The sequence below is a fragment of the Homo sapiens genome, chromosome 15 (genome assembly GCF_000001405.40).
Source record: "Homo sapiens chromosome 15, GRCh38.p14 Primary Assembly".
Classification (NCBI taxonomy): domain Eukaryota; kingdom Metazoa; phylum Chordata; class Mammalia; order Primates; family Hominidae; genus Homo; species Homo sapiens.
Genome location: NC_000015.10, coordinates 27,388,498 through 27,414,527, shown reverse-complemented (window position 1 = coordinate 27,414,527; position 26,030 = coordinate 27,388,498). Strand labels below are relative to the sequence as shown.

At 37.8% G+C, this 26,030-nt stretch overlaps 1 protein-coding gene across 2 annotated transcripts in view, besides 1 other annotated feature; it reads right to left on the bottom strand.

The window, feature by feature from the left end:
* Positions 1-26,030, bottom strand: part of GABRG3 (gamma-aminobutyric acid type A receptor subunit gamma3) — a 570,804-nt gene that overhangs the window by 127,457 nt on the left and 417,317 nt on the right. The window lies entirely within an intron of this gene.
* Positions 1,570-2,124: an enhancer, noted in NCBI's record as "OCT4-NANOG hESC enhancer chr15:27657550-27658104 (GRCh37/hg19 assembly coordinates)". NCBI's record gives its function as "activates a minimal SCP1, AML or CMV promoter by ChIP-STARR-seq in primed H9 embryonic stem cells {active_cell/tissue: H9 hESC(primed)}" and the evidence as "EXISTENCE:reporter gene assay evidence [ECO:0000049][PMID:30033119]".

Here is a 26,030-nt window from a genome sequence, read left to right as displayed (position 1 = left end):
TTTCATTTGTTTAAAATAAGCAGCTTTTATTTGTTTAAAATAAGCAGCAGGACCTTCCCACTTAAAGCATCACAATAGGTAGAGTCTGGGCCTCTTCCAGACTTGGAAGAAATCCGTCTCCCAATGAAACCCCTCCAGGCTGTTAAGAAAGCCACGGCTCACTAGAATAAAGAGTAGGCTGCCCACAGAGGTGACCTGAGAGCACAATAACAGCACGGAAGAAAGAGGCAGGTGACGGCAAGAAGAGCCAGAAAGAGAGAAACCATGAGGGCTTTGGGACATTCATGAACCAGAAAGATAACATGAACTGATCCCAAGGGGAGAGAAGAGGTAGAAATAAAATGTTTACATCATTTGCTTTAAAAATATTACACATACTTATTCCATAAACTTTAGGCAGCTTGAGAATAAAACTTCAGTTCAGTAGAGGTTACCTAGTGTTTGAATCAATAATTCCACATAAGCACTGAAATCTACAATTCCTTCACAATTAAAAAAGAAAGGCTGTGAGCATTAACATCTCTAAGGAACTCCACCTTGCACATTTTATCCATACAAATTTAATTTTCTAGAATAAATCAGAGACCTAACAGATGCCTAGTAGAGCACTTTATTCAAATTAGTCCTTCTAAACATGAACATTAATTAACTGAAAATATTTGAGAGAAAAATAGGAATGTAGAAAAATTGGTATCTCATTCCTTCTTTCCAAACCAAAGAAATAGTTGTTCGAAAGATGAAAAGGGTGCATCTTGAGTTAGACATAACTGCAAAATTACAGCCTTGGATGAATAAATAATTTTATTCTGGGAGCAAGCTTCAGCAGCTGGGACTTACATTCTCAGCTCCCTCTGCATTCTCCGTCTTAAAATCAACCACAACTTATACACACTGATCTGAATGCAGTTTTAAAAAAAAGGGCCCAATTAAATGTGAAAGTATGCATTAAGTTATCTACTCAAATGTGATTTAAGCTGTAACCACAACTTGAAAATAATGATTTTTCGTGTGCTACATCAAGCACAGGTGACAGCTCATTTCTAATGTTATCACACACGTTGCTTTTTCTTTTCAAAATACCGTTTTCCCCCTAAACTATGCAATCTGCATATAATTGTAAATCCTCTCTAATATCTCTAATTCTAGTGAAGTTTGTTTTACTCTAATTGACCTTATTAACCTTGGTCAAGCTTTACTTCTACATTTTTTGCCTTAAATAATGGCAAATTTGAGATGTGTAGTCTTAAAATAAAATGATATGGTAGACTTGTTGTAATTACTTCATTGAATATACTTTAATCATGAATTATTGTAAATAAAAATCTCCTGTAACTGTACATTATCTATAAAACTTTTTTTAAACACTGCTAAAATGGATAAAGTATGATTTATAATCTATTGGCTTACTTGCTGTTTGTTCTAAAGAGATTATGCATCTTTTCATTTTTTTGGTTGCTTTGACTTGAAAAAATAAATATAAAACAAATTTAGACAAAACACATTAAAAATAACTTTGCAATTAATTATATTTATTTCCACAGTGATTTGCAATAAACAGGAAGCAAAGAAAACTGTTACTTTACTGTGAATTTTTTTAAGAGAGCAAATATATCATTTGTAACTGGACATGCAAGGTTAAAATTTGGAGTAAAAAATACTGAAGCAAAAATAACACATTAATTTTTTATTTCCTTAAGGGAAGTCATAATATTTGTTTTTTTCCTTCAAAGAAATGATTTATGATACAAAATCCTAGTCCTTTACTGAACTGTTACAGGAGGAGAGATGAAAGCCAGTGCAAATACAAAACCCTGCAGGGTGGCTTTGCATTAGAATGCTCAGCACAAAGGTCTAAGACCACGCTGCCTCTTCCACGTTCAAGCGTGTGAGAGCTGCCAAGAACATCTGATTTCCTCTTCCCATTTTTACCACCTACCTCTAATCCATGAGCTTAGTTCACTGATTTATGTTCTGCGAATGGATGACACAATATAAACACGCTTTATTTATTTAGGACAGAGTCAAAGAACAATCTGAATGAGTATCAGATAATTCTGCTGACTGAAAGTAAGCCAATTCGAAAAGGTTACATCTGGTATTATACCATTTATATATGGTTGAAATGCCAAAATTATAGAAACAGAGAACAAATTAGTGATTTCCAGGGGTCAAGGACAGGAGGGAGTGAATGTGGCTTAAAAAAGGGCAGCATGAGTGATCCATAGGATGGTGGAAATGTTCTGTGTCTTGACTCTATCAGTGTCCATGTTTTGGTATTGTACTATCCTTTTGCAGGATGTCACCATTGGGGAAATGAGGGAAGGGAATGTGGAAGCTCCTGTATTATTTCTTACGGTTGCATGTGACTCTACAGTTATCTCAAAATACAAAGTTTAATTAGGAAACTTGCATGACTGAAAAAAGTGAAGGAGAAATACAGACTCACAGAAAAATGAAAAGTTAGGGAACAAAATGGCAGCAGACCTGCCCAGAAATAAATATTATACGAAGTTCTTCAAGCAGAAGAAAAATAATTTACAAAAATGCAAAATTAAACCTACATAAAGAAAGAAAGAGCATTGGAGAAAGAAGAAATTAAGGTAAAGTAAAATCTTTTATTTTTCTTATTCACAATTGATCTAAAATGTAACTGTTGAAAGTGATAATAGTAATAATGCACTGGGTGTAGCCATCAGTACATAAAGAACAAGAGGGAGAAGCTGAGGATACACCGGGAAAAGGCACCTGAAGTACATGTTAAATGGTATGGTGTTATTTGAAGGGGAGCTTGGTTTATTTAATATGTATATTGTAAATCCTATGGCAACCACTTAAAAACACAGGAATACAGTAAGAGAGAAGCAAAAAACTGACTCATATAAAAGCCTTTGAAAATCCCCCCCATAAAAGCAGTAAGAATACTGGTAACAGTAGCAACAAAAGTTAAAATCAAATTATTCAGAACTTTGAAAATTAACCAGACACTTGGAACAGTTGAAGCAGAGTTCATGCAGGAAGAATGGCTGGATCTCAGTAATGCAAGGAAGCTATGGGGTATTAAATATTTTAAGTTGGCCAATTCTCATTCCCCATTTCTCATTTCTGTGACAGCCTTGAATTGAGGAACTTTATAACTATGGTAACCATGAAAACCAGCAGCCTAGCAACAAGTAGCGGGGGCAGAATGGGTTAGGAGCTTTGGAGGATTGTCTGGCCTCTTCACTCTGTCAGAAAACCTCATTCATAGGGTTTATTTTTATTTGACCTGAATCAGAGCTTGTTCAGTGAAGAAAGCCATATCCACAGAGTGTTTGTCCAAAACTACTAACCACAGTCGTTTAACATCCTGGATGCCTGAGGTGGTGACGCTAGTCGGGCAAGCAAGAGGCAGGTGAAAATCCTTAAATAAATACCACGGATGATGAGATTGTAAATACAGTGCTTCGAAAAGCTCTAATATCTAACTGAAGATCTATAAGGGCATACTCATGTGCAGGGCTGTAGGCATGCCCAGAAAAGGCACAAATGGTCCTAATGTCTCATCGCTGATGGATCTTCAATATCTGTGAAAGACGAACTTTAGAATGAAGGTTAAGGCAGGCCTGTAAATTATCTGCCAAAGCACTGAAAGCATTCCAACACACACACACACACACACACACACACACACACACACACACACGAGCGTGCGCACGTGTGCTCTCTCTCTCTTTCACCAACCTGCTCAACAAAGTGCTAAAGGAAAAAGACTGCTAACCAAGAATTCCACAGTCAGCAAAAATGGCTTTGGAAAAAAATGAAGGAGAAATTAAGACATTCTCAGATAAACTAAAACTGAGAGAATGTCACTAGTAAGCCTTCTCTACGGGAAATACTAAAGGTTAAATAAAAGGATAATAGACAGTACCTTGGATTCACCAGAAGGAAACTGTCAAATGTCAGTCAATATAAAATAAGTAATCTGAATACTACTCTATTACACAAATTAAATATATAATTTTTAAACCTTCTGGAAAAGAAGGCTTCATGCTCTGACAGCTTTAATGGAGGTTTCACCAAATATTAGCATCAATTCTGACAATATTTGTCAAAAACAAATAAGGATGAAATAGTTCCCACAATATTTTATAAGGTCAATATCACCTAAATACCAAGCTAAACTAAAAAAGTACAAAAAAACTATAGTATCTTTTATAAATTGAGATGAAAAATGATTTTAAAAAATAGTAAATTGAATCCAGCCATTTGTTAAAAGGACTATACAACCCCAAAATGGGATTTATTCTAGCAACAGTTCAATGATTAAATATCAATGTTATCCACCGTAACAATAGACTAAAGAAGAAAAACTAACATGATCTTATCATTTGATAGATAAATGCTTTTGACAAATTTAATATCTACTTATAACTGAAACTCTTAGAAAATTAGGAATAGAGAAAAACATTCTTGGTTTTATAAATAAAATATTTCATCTAACATCACACTTCATGGTTGAAGACTAAATGCTTCATCCCCAATATCAGGACCAAGGCAAAGATGTCCATTCTTACCACTCTAGCACAGTACTGGAAGTTTAAGCCAGTATAATCAGGCATAAAAAGGAAATCAAAGTCATATGGATTGGAAAGAAAGAAAGAAAACACTCTCTAATTGTCTACATACAAAATTCCCCAAAAATCTATGTAAAAAAACTAACTCCTAGAACAAATGAGTAAGTTCAGCAAGGTCATAAGATACAAGATCAACACATAAAAATCAGTCATTTTTTCTACATATTTTTCTACATACTAATAAAGATATAAATAATGGAGAGATGCACAGTGTTCCTGTTTTGGAAGACTCAGTATAACAAAGATGTCAATTCTCCCTGGTTCCTTATAAAATTCCAGCTAGAGTTTTTTTTGCTACATAAGATAAGCTATTCCAAAAGTTATATGGAAAGGTAGAGGAATTTGACTAGCTAAAACAATTTCAAAAAAGAATTAAAATGGGGGAAGCACTCTACCTGATGTTAAGATTAATTATATAGCTACAGTAATTGAGACAGTTTACCATTGGTGGAGGGTACATACACAGATCAATGAAACAGAACAGAGACTCCATAAGTAGATTCAAATATGTCTAAGCGATTTTTTTTTTTACAAAGGAGCAAAACCAAGTCAATGGAGGAAGGATAGCTTTCTCAACAAATGGTGCTTGAAAAATTGGACATTCATAGCCCCCGCACCAAACCTTAATCTATATTGCATGCCATGCACAAAAATTAATTCAAAATAGATTTAAATATAAAACTATAACTATTTTGGAAAAACATGGGAATAAATCTTTCAGACAGCAGTCTAGACAATGAATTTTTAGGTATGATATCAGAAGCAAGACCCATTAAAGAAAAAAATATTAAGTTGGATTTCATCAACATTAAAATTTTGCTCTGTCAAAAACCCTGGTATTAGGATAAAAAGATAAGCTACAGACATATTTAGAAAAAAAAAGGACCAGAAAGGTGGGTCTGGAAATATTCCCATTGTGTAGAAATCCATTTAATTGGCTTAATACTTTAAACATTGTTTCTGTAAAGTTGTATAATACATACTGTACAAGATGATTTATGGAAACTTAAAATATCTTCAAGCTTGATGATGGGGCAAAAAATCACTGCACCACCCAAGGTCTTAAAGTGCATTACCAGCAGAAGCTGAAAAGAAGGCAATGGGTCCAGTTTCCTGTCTTTTTTGAATGTTTATCTTATAATATGTGCAGGCAAACAGACTTAGTGACATCTGGAAGTCTGAAGGCAATTAGGGCTCAGCAGGTGCCTTGAGGAGGAGAAATTCTATTGTCCTCTGCAGTCACCCCGAAGTAGAAAACACCACACTGGAAGTCTCTGGAATTCCAAAACATGGCAGACCCGCGGCCCTCACAGCTATTACCGCTGCATTTCTTACCTTCTCACCTGCTTTGGTCCCGGGGTTTGCTTGTGTCAATGTTCATTTCTTCATGATAATAGGATCCATAGGTCCATTAATAGTTAGAAATAATTTCAGAACTATAAAGCAGCCATTCCTGCCTCTCCTGAGGGATTTTGAGACCTGGTTTCTGGTTGTAGCTCAGCAAACAAATAGCTGCACGATCACTGGCTTTTCATTAATTTTCTGGAAACAGTGTTCTCAACTATATTTTCATTTATATGTATCACTAATATTCAATACATCTGGGGGCTCTTACTAAAAACACAGATTCCAAGGCCCCAGGGCAGTCCTCTTAAAATACAATTTCTGAGACCTGGCAAAAAGTCCCTGGAACCTGCATTTAATAATTTTCCAGTGTTTCTGATACTTACTCTTGTTATAGAACCACTGGTGTGAGATTCAACCCAGATCTACTAGTCTGTGATTTTTTTTTAAGACTTTATTTTTTAAAGCAGTTTTCGGGTCACAGTAAAATTGAGAGAAAGTTATAGAGATACCCCATGGAGGCCCTACCCTACACATGCATGGCCTCCCCATTACCAACATCCCACACCAGAGTGGTGCATTTACTACCGCATTGTTGTCACACAAAGTCCGTGGTTCACAATAGGGTTCACTCTTCTTGTGTACATTCTATGGATCTGGACAAACATATGGCACATAGCCACTATTGTAATATCGTACAGAGTAGTTTCAATGCCCAAAAAATTCTCTGGGCTCCACCTATTCATCCACTTTCCTCCTACCTTGCTCCCATCCCCTGGCAACCACTGTTCTCTATACAGTCTCCATAGTTTTACCTTTTCCAGAATGCCATATAGTTAGAATCATACAGTTATAGCCCTTTCAGTTGGCTTCTTTCACTTAGTAATATGCATCTAATTTTCACTCATGTTTTTCTATGGCTTGTTGGCTCATTTATTACTAGCCCTGAATAATATTCCATTGTCTGGGTGTACCAAAGTTGACTTATTCATTTACCTACTGAAAAACATCTTGGTTGTTTCCAAGTGTTGGTAATTATGAATAAAGCTGCCACAAACATCCATGTGCAGGCTTTTGGGTAGACATGTTTTCAGTTCCTTTGGGCAAATACCAAGGAGTGTGACTGCTGGGTCACATGGTAAGAGTATGTTTAGTTTTGTAAGAAGCTGCCAAACTGTCTCCAAAGTGTGCTACCATTGTTCATTTCCACCAGCAATACATGAGAGTTCCTGCTGCTCCATATCCTTGCCAGCATTTGCTGGTGTCAGTGTTCCGGATTTTGCCCATTCCAGTAGGTGTGTAGTAAGTGGCAGCCAATTATTTTTTTAATAAACATTTGCTTTAGAGCCGAGCGCGGTGGCTCACACCTGTAATCTCAGCAATTTGGGAGGCCAAGTTGGGTGGATCACTTGAGGCTGGAGTTCAAGACCAGTCTGATCAACATGGTGAAACCCTGTCCCTACTAAAACTACAAAATTAGCCGGCCGTGGTCGCACGTGCCCCTAATCGCAGCTACTCCCGAGGGTGAGGCAGGAGAATTGCTTGAACCTAGGAGGTGGAGGTTGCAATGAGCTGAGATTGTGCCACTGCACTCCAGCCTGGGTGACAGAGCCAGACTCTGTCTCAAAACAACAACAACAACAACAAAAAGAAAAAAAATTTGCTTTAGAATAGTATCAGATTTACAGAAAAGTTTCAAACATGGTACGGAGTTCCCATCTACGTTTGACCCTTTCCCCACTATTGTTAATCTTCCATTACCCTGGTACATTGACAAAACTAACAAACTACATTGGTGTACTACTCTTTAATAGCTCCAGACTTACCAAGTTTTGCTAGTACCCTCTTGACGTTCCAGAATTCAGCCTTGGATCCCACTACGATTATCTGTGTTCTCTCCTTAGTTTCCTCCAATCTGTGACAGTTTCTTAATCGTGCCTTGTTTTTGACGACCTGGACGGTTTTGAGGAGTACTGGTCAGGTATCCTGTTAAATATCCTCAATCTGGTTTTGCCTGATGTTTTCTTGTGGCTAAACATGTGCATGAGTGTTTTAGGGGCTACCACAGAGGTGATTTGCTATTCTCAACACATCATATCACACTGTCCACATGGCTCATCACTGGTGAGGGTCACCTTGATCACTTGGATGCCATTAGGTTTGTCAGGTCTCACCATTGTAAAGATATTTTATTTCCCCCCTTTCATATTCTAGTCTTAAAAAAAATCATTAAGTCCAGCCCACACTCATGTGGGAATGGCGTGGGGTTAAGCTCCGCCTCCTAGCAAGAAGTATCTACAGAAATTATTTTGAATTCTTCTGACAGGAATATTTGTGTTTCTTCCCTCCCCATTTATTTATATGTTCAATCATTATATCTGTATGGACTCGTGTATATTTTATTTTGGGGGCTAAATTTCAATAAATTTAATTATCAATTTTTTTGAGATGGAGTCTCAACACATTGCCCAGATTGGTCTCAAACTCATGGGTTCAAGCAATCCTCCTGCCTCAGCTTCTCATGTAGCTGGGATTACAGGTGCACACCACTGGGCTGGCTTCATTATTAATTTGTTGTTCAAAGTGTTTGGCCATTGGGAGCTCCTTTATTTCTTTTACATGCCCCATCTTTGTGTCTTTTAACATTTTCTTACTTCCTGGCACTACAGGATGCTCCATTTGCCTACATTTTCCTCTATTTTCCCTATATTCCCTCCCCCAGTCCTAGAATCAGCCATTTCTTAAAGGAGTCCCAGTTTATTTTATTAGAAAATCATATTTAGAGACCAAGACAAGGGTGCTGGGTGTACTCATTGCTACTGGGCTGTTGCCGCTTCAAAACCCTCTCAGCACACAAACACACACACATACAGAAAAAAATCAACCATTATTTATCAATTCACCTACAGATGAACGTTTGGATTCTCATAAATTCTTCACTAGTACAAGATGTATTGCAATGAACATTTTTAGAAATGTCTTCTCGAATGCATAAGTGAAATTTTTCTTGTATATTTGTCTAAAAGTAGAATTGTTTGGACACAGAGGATGAACACCATCAGCTTTACCAATTACCCATAATGATTTTCCAACTGTCAGTGTAAAGCAATCCTTGACCCCCCACACTTAACAAATACTTCATATTTACTGGGATCTTCAAAATGTTTCCAATCTAACATGCATGACATGTCATCTCATTTTTGTGTACATTTATAATTATTTCTTTAATAACAAATGAGGCTGAGCAACATATCATTATCTACTGATCATGGATTTAGTGGTCATAGAGATATTTTCTTACATATGTGTTAATGTTTCTATTTTATTCATATTTATGTTCTTAATCAACCTGGAATTGATTTCTAGGTAATGTGTATAGGGATCTTATTTTATTTTACGTTCTATACAGAAAAAAGTAATGTCCTACAATTATGTACCAAAGAATGCATCCTTTCATCATGTTTTCAATGCAAGTTTTAGAATAACAGGTTTCTGGGGAAGCATCATTGTGTCTTGGGATCTCTATTCCATTTGGTTTGTCCATTTGCTTATTCTTCTATCAATATCACACTTGCTCTTTTGCTCTCAAAGTATAAGCTATTCTTGACTCTCCACACCCTGACTTGCGAGGACATACCAGTGTAAGAATCTAGGGGGCATGACAGAGCAGAAAGAGCCATGCCATTTACACAAAGAACATGCCTCCCGCATCCCACACGGCTGAGACAGACCAAGAGCACAAGGACTCCTCACCAGTCAGAGTCAGAAGAGGACACTTATGCACAGGGCTTGTTGCCTTTGCTGGGCAGTGGTCTCAAAAGCCCTCAGAGAAGATACATGTGGCCACCCTGGATGACTGCCTGTCACACAGTCCCAAGTGGGGAGATCCAACATCCTGAAGGCCAGTGGCGGTGGGTGCCCCAAGTAGAGAACGCCCACTGCTACCCCTGTGTCAGCATCATTTTTGTAGCCCAAGCTCATACCAGTGAGCAGACAATGTCCATTAACCAGACAGCCCTCCCAGACCAGGCCGGGCCCCAGGGCCCCAGGATGATCACATAGGCACAAGCTCTAGAGCTATGTGGGGTATCTGGTTGACGCCCACGTATAAACAAGAGGTCAGAGAGCAAAGAGCCAGGGGCCAGATGGGTGCATCCCAGGCTCAGGGAGCCCAGTGAGACAGCACTGACATGCTGCAGGTCACAGCTACCAGTGAGGAACTTGGACAATTACAAGGTAGGCATTGCCAGCCCAGCCAGCCCAGGTACCAGAGAAGGACTTAAAAGTTTTGAAGAAAGCACTCCAAAGTATGCAGACTCCTGGGGTAGGAGGCCTGATAGGTTTTTTCTTCAGACGGAGTCTCCCTCTGTCGCCCAGGCTAGAGTGCAGTGGCACCATCTAGGCTCACTGCAAGCTCCGCCTCCCGGGTTCGTGCCATTCTCCTGCCTCAGCCTCCCAAGTAGCTGGGACTACAGGCACCTGCCACCACACGTGGCTAATTTTTCATATTTTTAGTAGAGACGGGGTTTCACCATGTTAGCCAGGTTGGTCTTAATCTCCTGACCTCGTGATCCACCCGCCTCGGCCTCCCAAAGTGCTGGGACTACAGGCGTGAGCTACCAAGCCCGGTTTTTTTTTTTTGTTTTTTTTTTTTTTGTTTTTTTTTGAGTCTGGCTTTGTCACCAGGCTTAAGTGCAGCGGTGCGATCTCGGCTCACTGCAACCTCTGCCTCCTGGGTTCAAGCGATTCTCCTGCCTCAGCCTCCTGAGTAGCTGGGATTACAGGCGCGCACTACCACGCCCAGCTAATTTTTTATTTTTAGTAGAGACGGGGTTTCACCATGTTGACCAGGCTGGTCTCCATCTCCTGACCTCGTGATCCGCCCACCTCGGCCTCCCAAAGCGCTGGGATTACAGACATGAGCCACCAAGCCCGGCCAGGAGTTCTTTAAAAGCATTTTGAATTCACTCCGTTGTCTTCTGAATTCCATCCTCTGAGTTGAGAAGTAACTCTCAAGGTAATGACTGCACCTTGGAAGGAAATTAGTGTTTTGTCTCTAGGTGCTTTCAATAATTTTCTGTTGGGTCTGGTTTTCAGCTGATTACCTAGGTGTGTTTAATCACATTCTTATTCACCATGATTGGAGTTTATAGGGGTTTGGAATTTTTGATTTGGTGTCTTTCATCCATTTTGAAAATTTCTCAGCTCTCATTGCTTCCAACATCATTGCTCTCTCATTTTCTTCCTTTTTCTGAATTCCAATTACATATGCCTGGCTCTTTGGTAAAAGAGCATTGCCTGATTGGTAGGTACTTCTGCTTCTATATTTTCCATCCTTTAACTTTTCAACATTTTTTTTTGGTCATTTTATTCTGGCCAATCTTCTACTTTACTAATTCTCTCTTCAAAGTTCTTAAATTTCAGTCTTAATTTTTTTCTTTTATAATTTATTGTTTCTAGTTCACTGTTTCTTTATTGTTTATTGTTTCTGGTTCACTGTTCAAATTTATATCTTATCTTTTACTTACTTGAACATTCTAGTAATGGTTCTTTGGCAGTCTGATTGATAACTGCTTTATCAAATAGGCCGGACCACAAGACCCCAGGATGATCACATAGGTACATGCTCTAGACCTATGTGAGGCATTTGGTTGACCCCATGTATAGGCAGGGGGATAGAAAAAAAAGAGCAAGTGGCCAGATGTGGGCGTCCCATCACAGTTGTCCTTGTGAATCAGTTTCTATTTATTTCTTGCTCTCCTCCTGTTAGTTGCTTATGGTATATTTTCTCCTTCTCTGCCTGTGCATTTTCTATTAACCCTGGATATTGAATATGAAAATTTGTAAACATAATTTGGGGCTTAAGACAAGAATATTTTGGAGAGGATTTGCATTTCATTCTGGGTAACTAGGAGCACAAGCTCTCCTGGATCCACTTAATCTGATTTTAAGATTGACATAATTTAGTGCTGAGCTTCCCATCCTGGAAGGGCCAGGATATCTCTAGTTTATCCTTACTCCCAGGATATATTTCTTGAGGATTCCTATGCCAAATAAGTGGTGTTTGCCAGGCTGACCCCTTGGTGGGCCTTAGGCTCATTTTGTCCTTAGATTCACAAGGCTGTCAAATGATGTCCTTAGCTCTCAACCCTCTCAGATGCTTAAAATGCTGATATCCATAGAGGAGGGTTGGCCCCAAATGGCCATCCTTCTGTTTATTCCTTCCCCTGAACTTAACCCCTTAAGTCTTCAATATCTTGTTAGCATTCTGAAATATTCAAGCATTTTTTTTGTCTGTCTTCAGAGAGGTTTATCTGAATTATATAGTCCACTATTACCAGACTCTGAAATACCCATCACATCTACAGATTTTCTTTGGTTAGATGGCTTTTGTAAGTAGATTGGAAGAGGGATTGGCTTTAATATTATTCATTCAATTGTAAGCACTTAAATTAACACCTAAAATTTCACCCCTGTATATTTTTTCTTCTCTATGAAGCATTGCCCTTTTTCTGTATGACTATTTTAAAATAAAATCATCACTGTAATAATGGGGTTACCAGCTATGTTTTTAAAAATCCCTGACAGTGTCAAAATTCTTCTTTCTCAGTGTTTGGGCTTGTGGCCAATTGTCTGCATTAGGGCAGACACAGACATATTAAGATTTCATTCAAGGGAATGAATACAATATGTTGAAAAGACATGATTCTCCTCTTTAAAAATATTGTTATCCTTTGCTTATTTTTATTTGGTCAATAATGAATACATGATAATGAAGAAGAATTTGTAAGTTCCATATGGGATATTTTCTCATCTTAAGCTTTATGAATCTTGGCATTGCACAACTCCTTAGAGAACACAGTTAATCTACAGTCCAGCTGGACAATCTAACTATGGTCGCGAGAGCATGGAAGAAGGTCAAGACGTGAACCTGGTGTTACTTACAAGGAGACATGAAATAAGGTTAGAATGTCACAGGGGTAAGGGAGTGAGAGAGCGAAATAACTGCAAGAGAGGGAGAAATTTAAATATCTACATAATTATCTGTAAACTTAGGAAGAAGTTGAATGCGATCCAGAATCTACATTGAAAAAGTTCACACATTTTCAAATATTGTTTTGGATAAAGCCTGAAAATATTCAAGTACCAGTGAAATACTTTAGGGATGAGGCACTTAATTTTGTTTGCACCTTGGGGCCTTTTTGCAATCTGATAATGCCAATAGAACCCTGGTTTTTAAAGGAATAAAATAAAATACATATGGTAATTAAGGAATCCAATCACATTGATGTAAACGATAATCCTACTAATACACTTTTCCAATCCAGTAACATATGCGCCTCTCTGCTGATGCATTAAATAAAACATCTACCAGTGAGCTCAATATTTACTAGAATTTTGATGTAGTAAGGAACGAAAATGGCACTTTGAAATTCCTGCAATCATTGTAATACGATGTGAGAAAATCTGTTATTTTTATTAAGGAACTGCTGTAGTTTGTGCTTCATTCAAAATTGAAAGTCATGCTAAATTTCAGTTAGAGGTTAGTGGAAATAAAAATGAAATTTTCTTTACATCTAGGTTCAAAGATTCCCTCCAAATTCTGTCTATGGACTACTTGCGGAAGAGAAGATCCATGAAACGGGAGACTGTTTTGTCTCCCGTCGTGGATTCTGTAGTTGTGTGAGCCAGGTCTGAGGTTAAATACATCTTCGTTGTTTAGAGGACACACGTCCCTACACTAATGCACGTTAAATCAACCAGCCATAGACAATGATGACAATACCAGTGAAATTTAGAATAGGAAGTTCTCTTTGAGCCAGTCAATTTCCTCTCAGTCTGATAAGCTCATCTGGAGCTAGGAACACTCACGTATAACTAATTTGAAAAAGCACAAAATCTGCACATCCTCATCTAGTGGTGAGGAATAATGGGGTTATACAGCTCTAAACTCGTTTAAAATTCTGGACTGGTCTCTCCTACATGACTAGTTCTAAGAAAATGAAGTGCTTTCTTAAATATCATTTAAAACAAATAAACCCACATGTGAATGGAAGAGTAATAAAGTGAAAGGAACTAATCAATTTTTAACATCAAAGCATAGTATCTTATTCAATGGTAAGGAAAGCAGCATTTTAGTCATTGTAAGACAGTATTTTAAAGCAGATAAATTAATTGGAAACTTTCGTACATGACTGCAAAGTGCTTTGCTAAAGCATGGCAAAATAAATACAAAATGTGAGGTATCTTGCAAAAAAATCTTAAATTGTAAAACTCTCAAATAAACTTATTTATTCTCACAACATAGTTTAAGAAAGAAGGCCCTGAAAGAACATTTAAAAAATATAATGGTGAGTATTCATTTTAGCGTTCTAATAGCTACCAATTATTAGGTAGAGGAAAAAGAAATGTTAAAACTCTCGATATCTGGCTTTTGTATAGAAGAAAAACATCATCTGAAAAATCAGGCATTAGCTTCAGACAAATCCCTTCATAGCAAAGTGATAAAAGATTTAAAATTTATGTGTAGCCTTGAAAATAGAGAATAAAAACTAAAATAAAATGAGCATGCAGCAGACACCAGTTTTGATCACCCACATAGACTGATATTTACAAGAATATAACTCCTGCTTATATTTCACCAGCAAGCAAGTCCAGATTCATCTGCTCTGGACTTGAGTTTCGAAAGAGCATCTTAGTAAAATGCGGGTATTTAACTTCTGATTCAACGCCGATCTTTTCTGTCTTTGTGTGAAGATCTGGGTCTACTGTCATCATTCAGAGGAAATAATTTTAATAGTCTTGAGATAGGAAATTGAAGACATTTTAACAAAATGGACCAAATGCTGAGAGTCAGCCACTCAAATAGCAAGTACAGACGACGGTTTAAGTTGAATCTAAAATAAAATACTCTCCTTCCTAACTAAGGGCCCCAAGGTCAAGCACAGTAGTCAGTCTCTTTAGAAAACATACTTCCAAGTCAAAGGTTTCTACGAATGTCAAAGCTTAAGCTTGTGCCTTTTGATATATTAATTGGAAACGCACTATGGTTTGAACAAATGTTACTAGGTATGTCTGGGGAAAGCAAAGGAATTACAAAGGAACCGTTGCCATGTAATTAAATAAGGCACTTGAATACTGATTAACCGCAGGGACTGGAGGCCGTTATTATGCATCTTAAGCACAGGTTTGAGTCCAGCAGAGAAAGCACGTGTTCATTTCTGCAGCAACCACAGGGCCCTTTCTTTCCTGTTTCAATGGCCAGAACTGACATCCATTTATTTTTCCATTTTTAGCTGAATCACTCCATTTTGTTTTCAGGGTCTTCTCAAAGAGTTTCTGAAGGGACTCAGAGGAAGTGTTCAATAGAAAGCCCGTTATTAATAAATCAACTTACTATAATTTTAGGTAATAAATAACATATTTTAGCTGATGAGGGGCTATGCCATTGTTTTAGCTTTTGAACCCATTGTTCTCTTTTCATTTAGATTTGTGGATGAGAGGAAAGGTCTGCCATGCTCAATTTTCAAAGTTAAGACTAAAGCTCATAAACAATTGCTCTGACGGTGGGAAGCTTCAACTCACAATGTAGAAAACAGATTGCTGCCTTGCTGTGAGGAGTCCAGGCATGCCCTGCACTTGCTATTCAAACTTCCCCTTCCCGGCTCTTAATAATAGTGTAATAGTGTGTCTTCTGCCTGATCTGCTTTCTTGTTTACCTCTGACGATGCAGGTTTTATCTGTAGTTCAAGGACTACTGCGTTCTATCTTTGGAAAAATTAAGCAAATAGTCAGGTACACGTTGGCCAGTCAGCAAGCCCTTTTCTGAACTCAAATATTACTTAATTATACAATGTCTTTCATTGTCCTATAATAGAGGGGTGTGTGTGTGTGTGTGTGTGTGCGCGCGCTTGTCATCTCCCCTACCCAAACATATGGAAAGACTTCTTTGAACTCAGGAGCCTTACTTTCTACACTTCCACTATACCACATTGGTAGAAAATCAGCACATATTTGTGATTTTCAGCTCAAATTACTTTTTAAAAAACAAGATAGGTATATATTAATATTTTCTTCAAAGGACTTTTCACAATTTGCACACATGCACACACAAAAACACACGTATGAATACATATATTTGTGATTTCCCAATAAATATTTATAAATTAAAAGTACAATATGTCGCATGAGAGTAAATAAGTCAATTTAATAAGCATGGTTTTCAGTATGGCAATATTACCTACTTCTTCAGCTCCACCTCTGAAAACTTACAAATTGAAATATATCATCTTTAAATATGTATGTATCAGGCACAATGTAAGGCCTTGCCATCCAGAAACTGTTGTTCCTGCAAAGGTCATTCCCAGGCTTTTTTATAAATGACTTTGACATATATGTGATATAGACATTAAGTCTTTGACCCACATTTATAAATGGTATAGATTATATACTAAAATTTCAGAGAAGAGCCGGGCACAGTGGCTCACACCTGTAATCCCAGCACTTGGGGAGGCCGAGGCGGGAGGATCACGAGGTCAGGGGATCGAGACCATCCTGGCTAACACGGTGAAACCCCATCTCAACTAAAAATACAAAAATTTAGCCGGGCGTGGTGGCGGGCGCCTGTAGTCCCAGCTACTCGGGAGGCTGAGGCAGGAGAATGACACGAACCTGGGAGGCGGAGCTTGCAGTGAGCCGAGATCGCACCACTGCACTGCAGCCTGGGCCACAGAGCGAGACTCCGTCTCAAAAAAAAAAAAAAAAAAAATTTTTCAGAGAAGAAAATGCCTTGGAATTTGAGATGAGGATTAAGTGTGATACCATAAACACCAAGAAAAATACCTGCACACGAAAATCCTCTACTTCATATTAGCTACATGCCAATTACTATCAGCAGAAGCGGGAGGCTGGAGGAGAGTTTAGAAATGGTGAGGGACAAACCATAGACGAGCAGAGGCGGAGGCAAATTTCAGAGCAATGTGAATTAAAAAATCCAAGGGAATACGCCCTCAATCTGGCAGAGGAAGTATGGTGTGGTACATGAAGGGGGCAAAATGGACAGACTAAGAAAGGAAGGTGATAAGAGAGTTTAAAGTAAAGTTAATTACGTGAGGTAGGTCCTAATGATGGTGAATATTGCCTGAAAGCCACATAGAGGCAGTTGGACACGGCAAATCAGAAAATATAGAGAAATTACAAGTTCTAGATCAAATAACAAATTGTTAGAGAACTGTAGATTTCCACAGGTATCGTTTCCCTATGTATCAGGATTGTAGAAATAAACAAGTTAGTCAAAACTAAAATTGCAGTCGTTCTGGTCTTTAGCTTTACAAAATCAAGTCAGCATATTGTTACTCTGGCCAGCTCTTTGCACCCCCGCCCCCTTCCATGTAGGCGTATGTTTCACTTATAATACAGTCAGATTCATTTGTTGAAGTATGAACTTCATCTTTGTGCTTACACTCTGGCAGATTTTTTTAAAGTTTATGTACCGTAAAAATGTATTTTTTTGTTGTGCAGTTCTATTGGGTTTGACAAATGCATAGTCTTGTGTTCACCACTTCGATACCATCACTCCCTACATTTTCCCATGCTACCTCTTCATTGATAATACCCCTCCCCATTTTCCAGCCCCAGGTAACCACCAACCTCTTTTTTCTCCTATAATTGTGCCTTTCTCAGAGGAATGTAAATAAAATCATACAATATGTAGTTTTTGGTCTTCCTTCATTTTTAGATTCATCTATTTTTGTTACATGAATCAAGAGCTTTTTTTAAATCATCTCATTATGTGGATGTACAGCAGTTTGTTTATCAATTAATCAGTTGAAGGAAGTCTGGAGGGCTTTCAAATTTTGGCAATTATGAATAAAGCAGCTGTCACTTTTTATGTACAAGTCTGTGTGTGTGAGACATGAGTTTCCATTTCCTAGAAATGAGAATGCTGATAATACGGTAGGTGTATGTTTTACTTTGTGTAACCTGATAAACTATTTTCTAAAGTCGCTATACCATTTGCTTTCCAGAGGAAATGTGTAAGAGCTCAGTTGTTCCACCACATCCTCACCAGCATTTATTCTGCAATTTTTCAAAAGACATTCTAATAGGTGCGTATTGGTACTGCAATCTAGTTTTAATTCACCATTCTCTAATGATTATGTTGAGCATATTTTCATACACATATCTGACATTTATATACCTTTTTTGGGAAAGTATCTGTTTAACTCTTTTACCATTTTTTTATTGGGTTGCTTGTTTTCTTATTGCTGACTTTTGAGTGTTCCTTACATACTCTGGATACAAGCTCTGTTCAAATGAAATTTGCAATGATTTTCTTCCAGTATGTAATTTGTCTTCATAATCTCTTAACAGTATCTATGGCAGAGCAAAAGACTTTAGTAAGTACAGGCTCACCATGTTGGCTCATGCCTGTAATCCCAGCACTTTGGGAGGCCGAGGCAGGCAGTTTGCTTGAGGGCCAGGGGTTCGAGACCAGCCTGGGCAAATGTCAACACCCTGTCTCTACACAAAGAAATAACAAAATTAGCCAGGCATGGTGATGTGCACTTGTGGTCCCAGCTACGTGGGAGGCTGAGGTGGGAGGATCCCTTGAGCTTGGGAGGTTGAGGCTGCAGTGAGCCATGATCATGCCACTGCACTCCAGCCTGGGTGACACAGTGAGACCCTGTCTCAAAAAAAAATGTCCAATTTATCCATTGTCTTTCCATTTATAGGTCATGTTTTTGGTGCAGTATCTAAGAAATGCTTGCCCAACCCAAATGAAGCAGAATTTGTCCCATATTTTCCTCTAGAATTATTTGTTTACATTTAGGTCATAATCCCTTTTTAGTTACTCTTGTGTAAGGTGCTAGGTGTATATCTAGGTTCATTTTTTTATTATGGATGTCCAATTCTTATAGGACTATTTGTTGAAAAGACTATCTCTTCTCTTGAACTCTTGTTGAAATTCAGATGACCGTATTAGTATGGGTTAATTTCTAGATTCTCAATTCTGTTCCATAGATCTATGTATCTACACTATTGACAATAAGACTTTCAAGATTACTGTAGCTTTATAGTAATAGGTAAAATTAGGTAGTGTTAGCTTTCAAGATTTGTTCTTTTTTTCCAAAATTGTTTTAGATATTATAGTCTCTCTGCCTTTCCTGCTAAATTTTAGAATTAGCTTGTTAATATGTACAAGTCTTCAAGTGTCATCAAATGAGGGACTGCAATAAAAAGATAGAAATTACGTACAAGGACCAAATAGACATTCTGTGTTTGAAAAGTATAATATAGCAAATGAAAATCCACAAGAAGGATTCAACAGCAGATTTGATCTGACAGAATAAAGAACCAGGGAAATGTAAATTTTAAGATAGGTCAATTGAGATTACCAGTCTGGGGAAACAGATACAAAGAATAAGAAAAATGAACAGAGCCTCAGAGACTGGGAGACACCATCAATTGTACAAACACATGCACAATGGGAACTCCAGAAGGAGAGGGCAGAGGGGAAAGGTCACAAAGATAGCTGGAAGAAATAATGACCTCATACTTTCTAAACATAATATAAAAAGTTAATCAGCATATCCAAGAGGCCTGACAAATTCCAAATAAAATAAAAAACTCAATGAACTCCACACCTAAGCACATAATAGTCAAGCTGACAGAAGACAATGACAAAGAGAGACTCTTCAAAGCAAGCAAGAAAAAAAAATCTCATAGTACAAGGGCTTAACGACAAGATCAAAAGCTGACTTGTCATGAAAACTAATGGAAGTCAAAAGGCAATGGGATGATATATTTAACACTGTCATAAGAAAAAGATTGTCAACCAAGAATTTTGTATTTAGTAAAATTACCCTTCCAAAACGAAGGCAAAATTAAGACATTCCCAGGTTTTAAAAACTGAGAGCACCCATCATTAACACACCTGCTTTACAAGAAATTCTAGAGTCTTTTGGCTAAAATGAAAAAACAAATGGATAGACAGAGTAATCAGAAGCCATACAACAAATAAAGAACCCTGGTAAATGTAATTATATAGGTAAATATAAAAGACAATGCCAATGTACTTTAATAACAATTTTCTACTTCCATAGGGATCAAAATACAACTGAATAAACCAAAAGTTATTAAACTGTGCTTATATACTTATCATACATAAATATGTAATTTATATGATAATAATAAATATAAAAGGGGATAAAATTTGAAGCAATATTTCTGTAAGCTACTAAAATAAAGTTAGTATTAATTTGAGCTGGATTGCTTTATGGTGATGATTATAATCTTCAGGGAAAACACTAAGAGCATAATTTTTTAATGTAGTAAAAGAAACAGCAAGGAAATTAAAGTGTACTCTAGAGAACACATATTTAATACACAAGAAGGCAGTGAGAGGAACAAAAATGACCTAAGACATACAGAAAACAAATATAAAAACCCCAGTTGTAAATCTTACCTTATCTGTCATTACATTAAATATTAAACAATAAAATAATACAGTTGAAAGGCACAGATTGGCAGAATAGATTAAAACAAGAACATGATCAGACTATATGCTGTCTATAAGAGATTCACTTTAGACTGAAAGATACACATAGGTTCAAATACTTAGGCTGAAACCCTAACCCTAATCCAATAATGATAATTTATTATCTTACAGATTTGTAGGTCAAAAGTCTGGCATAGATCGTAAGCCCATTCAGTAATGGGCTGAAATCAAGGTATCAGCGGGGCTGCCATTCTGTTCCTTTCTATTCCATCTTGCCAGAGGCAGAAGATGCCACTCCATAGTATATGCTCAACAGAAAGGAGTGCATATATTAATAAGAAGATATAGTCAAGAATGAATTGCAGCTTCACTGGTACTATCTGAAACCACTACACATTTTCTGGCCTTAAAAAATTAAGCAAGTGGGTGGTAAATGGAAAGCCAGGATTCTATCTGTGGAAGTGAGAGTTTACAGATAAACAAGGGAGGAGGCTAGAATGATCCATGATGTAACTGATTAAATATAGATATAGAAGGGTATACAGAGAAATATTTATAGATATGTTTATATGTATGTGTATATGTATATGGTCATTATAAACACATATATTCTCCTGCTTTGGAAGCTGAGAGGGCTTAGAAGCAACAGCACTCCAGTATAAATGAACTTTCTTCACGCCCATGTCCTGATTCTTTTCTTTTCTTTTCTTTTTTTTTTTTTTTTTTGGAGACGGAGTCTCGCTCTGTCACCCAGGCTGGAGTGCAGTGATGTGATCTCAGCTCACTGCAAGCTCCACCTCCCGGGTTCACGCCATTCTCCTGCCTCAGCCTCCCAAGTAGCTGGGACTACAGGCACCCGCCACCACGCCTGGCTAATTTTTTGTATTTTTAGTAGAGATGGGGTTTCACCGTGTTGCCAGGATGGTCTCAATCTCCTGACCTCGTGATCTGCCCGCCTTGGCCTCCCAAAGTGCTCGGATTACAGGCATGAGCCACTGCGCCCAGACCACATCCAGATTTCTAATACCGTTCTCTACTGAAATGAACCGGGGCTCTTAGAAATGGCTAGTTCTAGGATTGGAGAAAAAAACAGAATATAAGTGTGGAATATCTTGAAATGCCAGAATGTAAGAAAGAAAATGTAATATAAAAAATATAATCATGCTGGGTATGTCAAAGGAACAAAGGAGCTAACAGAATGTGCTCCCAATGGCCAACGCTGGAGCAATTTGAGTAACAAAATAAATACAGTAATGTTGGGTTATAACCCAGAGTATAAAATAAATATCCAGGAGTCTCTACTGATAGAAGCAAATGATTGAGTCAATTGATAAATGAGGGAGAAGGACAAATTTACCTTTCAGAATTCCAAATGATTTATGTAGTTTTCCCTTCAGGAGGTATAGAATAATGCCCTAGTCCTTAAAGTGTGAGTTGGGCATAATGACTTCCTTCTAAAGTATGCAGAGTACTGCATGATGAAGGGAATAACTTTACAGGGAAGCAACGTGGCAGACACCACCTCAGCCAGGTGTTTAAGGTTATCATCAAAGGTGACAAGTTGCATTGATAGTATGATGAGAACTGTACTTGACCTATGCAGTCTTCCTCTCAAAAACGCATAACCCCGGTCTATGGATAATAAAAACATTGTACAATTCCCAATTGAGGTGCATTCTAAAAAATATGTGACCAGTCATCCCCAAAAATGTCAGGGTCATCAAAAACAATGTAAGTCTGAGAAACTGTTGTAGCCAAGCAGAGCCTGGGAGAACATGACAGCTAAATGCAATGTGGTATCTTGGACAGGATCCTAGAACAGAGGAAGGGTAGTAGATGAAAAGGATGGAATATGAACAAAGCGTGGAGGCTAGTTAATATATCAATACTGGGTTATGAATCTTGATAAATGTATGGTACTAAATGTAAGATGTTAACAGTGGGGATAATGGGGATGTGGTATGTGGAAATGCTGTGCTGTCTTCACAGTGTTTCTATAAACCAGAAACTATTCTAAAATACAAAGATCATTTTTAAAAAATTTAAAGACAGTGGTATATGTCACAGCAAAGGTATGTACCAGGACTGAGAATTAATTTTTCACACCAAATTTCAGCACATGATTCTCATCCAAGCTGCTAGTATGTGTGTGTAGTAAATGCGTGGACAGTGTCCACACTCTGCTGCTCTTCTCCTAAGTTCATGCTGATTGAGCTATATGGTTAGCGAACAACACTGCCAAGAGAATGGGTTGAGATCATATAACCGTGTTTTAAACAAAGAATTTAAAATAATTACTGTGGACATGAAAATAGAAGCCTGGTCCAGTTTTGATTGTGTTTACACCCAAAAATCAAAGCCATAAGGTGAAAAGAAAATACGATTTCTCTTCCTTTTCCTCATAACAATCCTCTGAAATCAGGTGAGTTTTTAATCCTATTTTTTGCAAAACAGAGGCCCCCATGTTCCCCAGGTCACAGATCTGATCAGTGGCAGCCAGGGCCTGTACTTTCAGTTGCATATTAGCACGAATACAGGGAAGGTGTTAGAACAGTTCCTAGTAAGTAGGTATTCTAACATCGGCATTAAATATTATTATTATTATTATTTTTACTACCTGAAAATGAAGTGCAGAACTAAGTTCTGAAGTCTTTTGTAGTTCTACATTACCACTTCTCTAAATATATGAAATCATAAGCAAACCTAAACCTGCACTTTGGGATCTGTCTCCTGAACTAAGGGAGTTGCTCTGATGTCTTAGCATTCAGATTTAAAGTTGTCTAGATGCCATTTATGTAAACTCATTTCCTGTAACAGCATATTGCTTTACAAGTGTAATAGAACTATAATAAAGCCTATAAAATATTAAAAGAGAAGCTATTTTTCTATTTTACAAGGGCTGCTGAATATTATGTGAACATTTATTCTCCACATCTGCATCAGGTGCCATTGTAACCTGAGGGATTGTGTCTTTTTTTTTTTTGAGATGGAGTCTCCATCTGTCACCCAGGCTAGAGTGCAATGGTGTGATCTTGGCTCACCGCAACTCCTGTCTCCTGGGCTCAAGCAATTCTCCTGCCTCAGCCTCCTAGTAGCTGGGATTACAGGCACATGCCACCACACTTGGCTAATTTTTGTATTTTTAGTAGAGATGGCATTGCACCATGTTGGCCAGGCTGGTCTTGAACTCCTGACCTCAAGTGATCCACCCGCCACGTCCTCCCAAAGTGCTGGGATTACAGGCATGAGCCACCGTGCCCGGCCTGATTATGTCTTTTTATCAGAATGCTGTCCATAGACTTCCTAGAAGTGAGGAGAGACTCTCCACACAGACCCTAAAGCCCTGATATAGAATTTCTTCATTTCTCTTTCCTGCGCTACCTAGAAGGCCAAAGATGGAGTGATCTCTGGCTCTGACCAGACTCACCATAGGACACCAACATAGATGGGAGGGACGTGCTGAGAGTCAAGAGGGCAGACAATGTGCACCCCAGTGCTCCCTGGGCTTGCCCTGACAAAATGACTCCCATGGTCCATGAGCCCTGTTTCTATTGCTGGGCATTATAGGTTTATTGGACTCACTGAGGAGTGCTAGGCTGTTAAATAATATTCTGATAAGTTCTTGTGTATTTCATCAAAACAGACAAAAATTATGTCAGCAGTTTGAAGTCTAGTGCTTCAGAAGAAAAAAAATATTAAATTTTTCTTGGCTTGTTCATTCTTAACTTGTATATTACAAATTGTAAGCTGTTCACAGTTTACCACGTATTTCTGGTGAAGTCAAATTTAATTTCTACAGAACTAATGTTAACAGTAAATAATAGTGGTTTGTTTTCTCAATTTTCAGTGGCGTAATATACGAAAGAAGCAAAATCAATTTGAGGTGTTATGATTTGTGAAGCATTATTCACTTAAAAATGTATTGCTCAATATCTGTTCTGATTTTATCATAATGTGCATTTGAATTTTTAAAAGTTGAAACAAATAACAAACATCTCACTTGGAGCATCATGGGAAATTTATACCCTTAACACTGGCATCCATATTTGTAAACATTCTTTAATAAATTCTTGGCACACAAAAATTTAGCCTAAGAGGTGAGATAGAATATATTCTTTGTCCTCAAATAATTATTTGCCTATTTCCTTAACTTTATGACAGTTTTTATGCCCTGCAGGCAGTTTTATGCCCGCATATTTTGCGCTGCTTTTAAATCCAACCATAAAAGAGAGTACACCACAACATGTTCAATTATTTTACTTTTTTACATTTGTTAAAGGAAGCGATGAAAAGCAAATACTTGGTTGGTTTGTTAAGCATTTTACCAAATATAAGTTGATGTGTTAACTCGAAGGGTCATTTGAATTACGTGCTCTGAGTAGCTGTGACGGATTGTTCTGTAGGATGATATTACATGTGTATATTTTACCAATCAGAGTTAGACTGTGGGATGTACTAGAAGCAAGATGTTACCTGAAAACATCAGGCATGTATAGTGAATGATGATGTGTTGGCAGTGAACACCATTTTTCTGAGGACTACACACACTCCAACAACATACTTTATTTATCAAAATAACCCATTTCACCGCAGATAACAGTGGTGGCGCTGGTACAAAATTTGGTTGAAAAAGCTTTCATTTACTTGAGCATATGGTGTGTTCCCTGTGGTGCAGGAAAAACTTAAATGAAACCTGCACTGGATATTAAGTTATGTTCACAAAGATTACATTGATCTACGCTATCATAAAACTACCCCTTTCCACACACACTTACCACTGGATATTTTCAAACCATTTATTTTCTGCTAATCTCATAGTTTAACATGGCAACTCTCTGTAGCTTCTGTTGCTTTCATTCGTATTTTCTATTTTAATGAAATGGAATTGATTTTTCTGTTAACTTTCTATTTGGATCTTTCTTGTGTGTAAATTTCCCATTTACATTATATACACACTTCCCTGTTGCATTGTGTGTTTTATTGATTCATGTTGTTGGTATCGATTTGTGGGACTGCTCTGTTCAGCAGGAACATTATGTGTTAGGATACTTTCAGTTACAAGTCATACAATCAAATGTAAATTAAACTTATGCAGAAAATAAAAGCTAATATATTGGATTGTGTAACTAGCAAAATCAGAACCAGGCATGGGTTAAGGCGAGGAAAAATTCAGGTCTCTCTCTGTCTCTCTGTCTCTCTCTCTTCCTCTCTCCACCTTCATTTCTTAGCTCTTCTTCTTCCATGGGGTCTTAACTCACAGGCAGACTCTCCAGAAGGTTTTCTATTTTGTGCATTGATCTGTTTCTTGGGGCCCATGGTATTTAGTTGGTGCACTCTCCGCTGAGTCTGTCTGGACTCACTCCACACACTTCTACTGCAGACAGGTCATTAACAGACCTGTTTTAATGCATTGTGGGGTAAGATAACACAGCCAATCATCTACCATCCCAGCACCCCACAGCTCTTTGAGTGACTTTTCCTAAACATTGCCAAGGACCGATTCTGTGGTCCTGCTCCTGGAGAATGCTATCAATGGTACTGAATGGCTTTTCTGAAACCTTGTTAAAAATGAG